This window comes from Homo sapiens, chromosome 1, assembly GCF_000001405.40.
Source record: "Homo sapiens chromosome 1, GRCh38.p14 Primary Assembly".
NCBI classification, from domain to species: Eukaryota; Metazoa; Chordata; class Mammalia; order Primates; family Hominidae; genus Homo; species Homo sapiens.
The window spans coordinates 157,560,081-157,564,068 of record NC_000001.11 but is presented as its reverse complement, the minus strand read 5'-3'; the positions used below and the strand labels follow the sequence as shown (position 1 = coordinate 157,564,068).

General features: G+C 39.0%; 1 annotated feature.

Moving 5' to 3' along the window:
- Positions 1,341-1,540: an enhancer, noted in NCBI's record as "active region_1892". NCBI's record gives its function as "activates an Ori minimal core promoter by ATAC-STARR-seq in GM12878 lymphoblastoid cells {active_cell/tissue: GM12878}" and the evidence as "EXISTENCE:reporter gene assay evidence [ECO:0000049][PMID:35858748]".

Genomic DNA, 3,988 nt, shown 5'->3' with positions numbered 1-3,988 from the left:
AATATTCCAGTAGATTCTTTTTTCTTCTTCCCCTTTTTGAGATAGGATTTCCCTCTGTTGCTCAGGCTGGAGTACTGTGGTACAATCTCAGCTCCCTGCAGCCTCAACCTCCCAGGCTCAAGCAATCCTTCTGCCTCAGCTTCCCAATTAGCTGGGACTACAGGCAGGCACCTCCATGCCTGGCTAGTTTTTGTATCTTTTGTAGAGACAGGGTCTCACTATATCGCCCAGGCTCATCTCAAATTCCTGGGCTCAGACGATCCTCCTGCCTATACCTCCCAAAGTGCTGGGATTACAGGCATGAGCCACTGTGCCTGCCCTCCAATAGATTCTTACTAAACCTGATTATACTGCTCTAGAAGATTTAAACTGCAAAATACAAATTCACAAAGTAGTGATGTATGCTATTATATGGATGAGCCTCAGAAACATTATACTCATTGAAAGAAGCCAGATACAAAAGGGAACAAATTATATGAATTCATTTCTGTGTTCAAAATAGGCAACTTTATAGAGAAAGAAAGTCAAATGGTGGTAATCAGTTAGTTGCCTGGGTTGTTGGTGGGAATTGAGAGTGACTGCAAATGGATGCCAGGTTTCTTTCTGAGGTAGTGAAAATGTTCTAAAATTAGATGATGGTGATAAAACGAGTGAATACTATCATTAAATATTGTACATCAATAGAGCTGTTAAATACATAGGCAGTCACCCAGGGATTTTTAATAAGCATGCATTACCACAAGTAAAGACAACTGGTAGAAAGGCTGAAGTGCAGAAAGTGAATAGAACTTTGAAAAAGCAAGAGATTTTGGTGTCATGCAGACAAAGGTTTTGAATATATTGAGTTATCTCCTGTGATTTTTCACACCATCCTAGTGAGGTGGGCATCGTGGTCCCCATTTTTAGGATGAAGACACTTAAGCTCGAGTTTAATAATTTTCTCAGGGTCACCTAGCTGGTGAGTGGCAGAGCCCTGAGTTTTTCTGGTAACAATGCCCGTGCTCCTTCACCTCTCCATCGTGACAGAACATTGCCTGTAAGACTTTCCCTCAGGAAAATCCAATATTAACATTTAAGAAATTAAAGCTTCTTTTTGCCCAGATTTGTTTTCACTGCCAACACTTTCTCTTCATCTGTATCAACTCTCTCTCCCCCTTTACCATAGTACACTTTGTGGCCACAGCATCCTGCTTGTCAGCATACAAAATTCTGCTCATCCCTCCAGGAGCTCCTGAGAGGCTCTGCCCACTCTCCAAACTGACTGACAGAGCCCGAGAGCTACTCCAAGCCCACTCAGTGATCATGAGATTACTGTGGTTAATTCCACACTGCCTGTTTAAATACGCCCTCCAAGAACCTTTAATTTTTATCTTTCTGTGTTGTAAATAGTACAGTGCTTATTTATAAACTTCAGAACTCTAAGTTTCCATTTCCTGTCACCAAAATAGGCTCCTAGTAATTGCTCTTGAGAGGTAACCATTAAACCATGGCCCCTGCTGCTGCTACAGCTGGCTGAAGGAAGATCTTGCATCTAGATTCCTGTTCAGATACCTGTGACTGTTGAAGCTCTTTATTGAATTTTTTAGGCTCATGCTCAGACAGCTGTCTACCACTAATTGTGCCTTTTGGCTTACAAGATGCTTGAAAGTAAAGTATGCAATTTCTTTGAACTTCAGTTTTTCCCATCTATAAAATGACGATAAAAATACCTGCCTGAAAGAATATTTTCTGTGTTTTTTCCCTGTTGATTCAAAGGTTAAATAAGGTAATATTTACAAAGTATCTGGTGTGATGCTGTGTTACAGTAACCATCCAATATATGGCAACCATTATTGAGATAAGGGTAAGGATCTCCTTCAGTTGAGAAAAAGGCATATCTACCACATTTTACTTACTGAAACCAACCACAAATGACCAAAAAACAAACAAAAAACAAACAAACAAAAAAAGAAACTCCATCTTCAGTGAAACTTTTGAAAACCCACATTCCTCAACTTATAAATGCTGGAGAGCAGCTTCTAATCACAGTGAAATTGAAATTCAAACCAAACCAAGGGAAGAAATGAGGTGGCAGGAAACGCAGGCTCCAATACACATCTACGGGAAAAGCTCCAAGTTTTCCAACAGTAAGGGGCAAAGTCCTGAAGCTCCAAACCAGTAAACCCATACTCAGAAGACAAGGTGTTGGGAGTATGGAGACTGTAGGAGCATCCTCAAGTCCCACAGAACACTCAAAAAAGCAGGGACATCCGATCAGAATAAGGCACTTTGCAGATGTGAGGAGAGATGGTACACAGTACTGGCTCTGCAGGTGTGAACATTATTCCCTGAAGAGAAGTACATGCTAAATCACCACATGGAAAAAATCTGTGAACTACAGGATGTCATGCTAAGCCAGGTGGACCACCTCTTGATTCTCAAGAAAGAAAACATGGCAGAGATGGCGAGGAAATGCTCTGAAGCAAAATACCTATGTCTGAGCTGTCTGCTGCCTCAGCTCACACCCCAGCTTGTCCCACAATCTGCTCTTCAGTCAATAGAGAGTTGGGAAAGTGTGGCCCTTGTTGAGAGATAAGCCATAATCAGACTGTCACTAGCATGGGATTCAGGCATGTAGACAGAATGAAAAAGCATAGGCAGTAAAACAGTATAGGCAGAAGAAGCACAACGCCACCCAGCCATCCAAAAAAAATCAGACAACCTCTTCTCCATGACATCAGAGAAATTTTAAAAATAAAGTCTTTTTTTCATATAATGACACTTTGGGCTTGAAAAAATGTAGCAGAAACAGAAGAATATTGAGGGTAAATTAACAAAGCTCAAAAAACAGAAGAGGAAAATCAGCCATATTAAAATCAGAAAACAAAAAATGAATAAAAATTGCTGAAAATATAGTAATGAAAGATGGATTTGATAAAACTAAACAAAATAAAATAGGAAAGAACAAAGGTTTAAATTATGACAGAGAAAATAATTGATATGAGTGACAGATAAAAGATATCCAATATTCCCATAAGTGGTATTCTGAAGCCAACAGAATAAATGCAAATGAAAAATATTTAAAGATATAATAGAAGAAAGCATCCAGAAAACTGATACAGAATTAGCAACATGACATATTTGGATAAAGTTACTATACTTCAGAGATTTTTTAAAACAGAATTTGGTGGACTTTGGGAGGCCAAGGTGGATAGATCACCTAAAGTCGTGAGCTGAAGACCAGCCTGGCCAACATGGCAAATCCCCGTCTCTACTAAAAATACAAAATCAGCTGAGCATGGTGGCACATGCGTGCAATCCCAGCTACTCGGCAGGCTGAAGCAGGAAAATCACTTGAACCTGGGAGGTAGAGGTTGCAGTGAGCTGAGATGGTGCCACTGCACTCCAGCCTGGGTGACAAAAAGAGGCTCCATCTCAAAAAAAAAAAAAAATTGAAGAATTTGGTGGACAACCAGAAAAAAATCAAGTTATGTGGAGGAGGGGAAAAAGCTGTCTTCAAACTCGTAGCTGCGTTCAAAACTAGAAGACAATAGTCTAATGTTTAAAGACCCTCAAGAGAAGAAAGATTAACCCAAGAATTTTAAATCCAGATATATTTCAGGAATAAAGCAAAAACATACTTTCTAACATGCAAGAACTCCATGACTGTGGCACTTTAAGACAAAACATGACTTAAAACCTATGAGGACTATTGAATTCAATTAAATATAACACTAAAATCAGGCAATTATGAGAATTATGGTTATAGAACACAGTGTAAACGTTATAAACCCTGAGAATATAGAAATTATACTATTAATAATAAAATCAGGAGGTGGAGGATATGAAAACATATGGGACAAAGTAATAGCAGGCCGATTCCTTTCTTTTTTAATAGGAAATAAGTAGATATTGTCAAATCAAGAAAGATAGCTATAAGAATACTACAGTTACAAGGTTAACCACTGAACTAAGAACAAACTATAACTCCTTCAAAACATGAACAGTG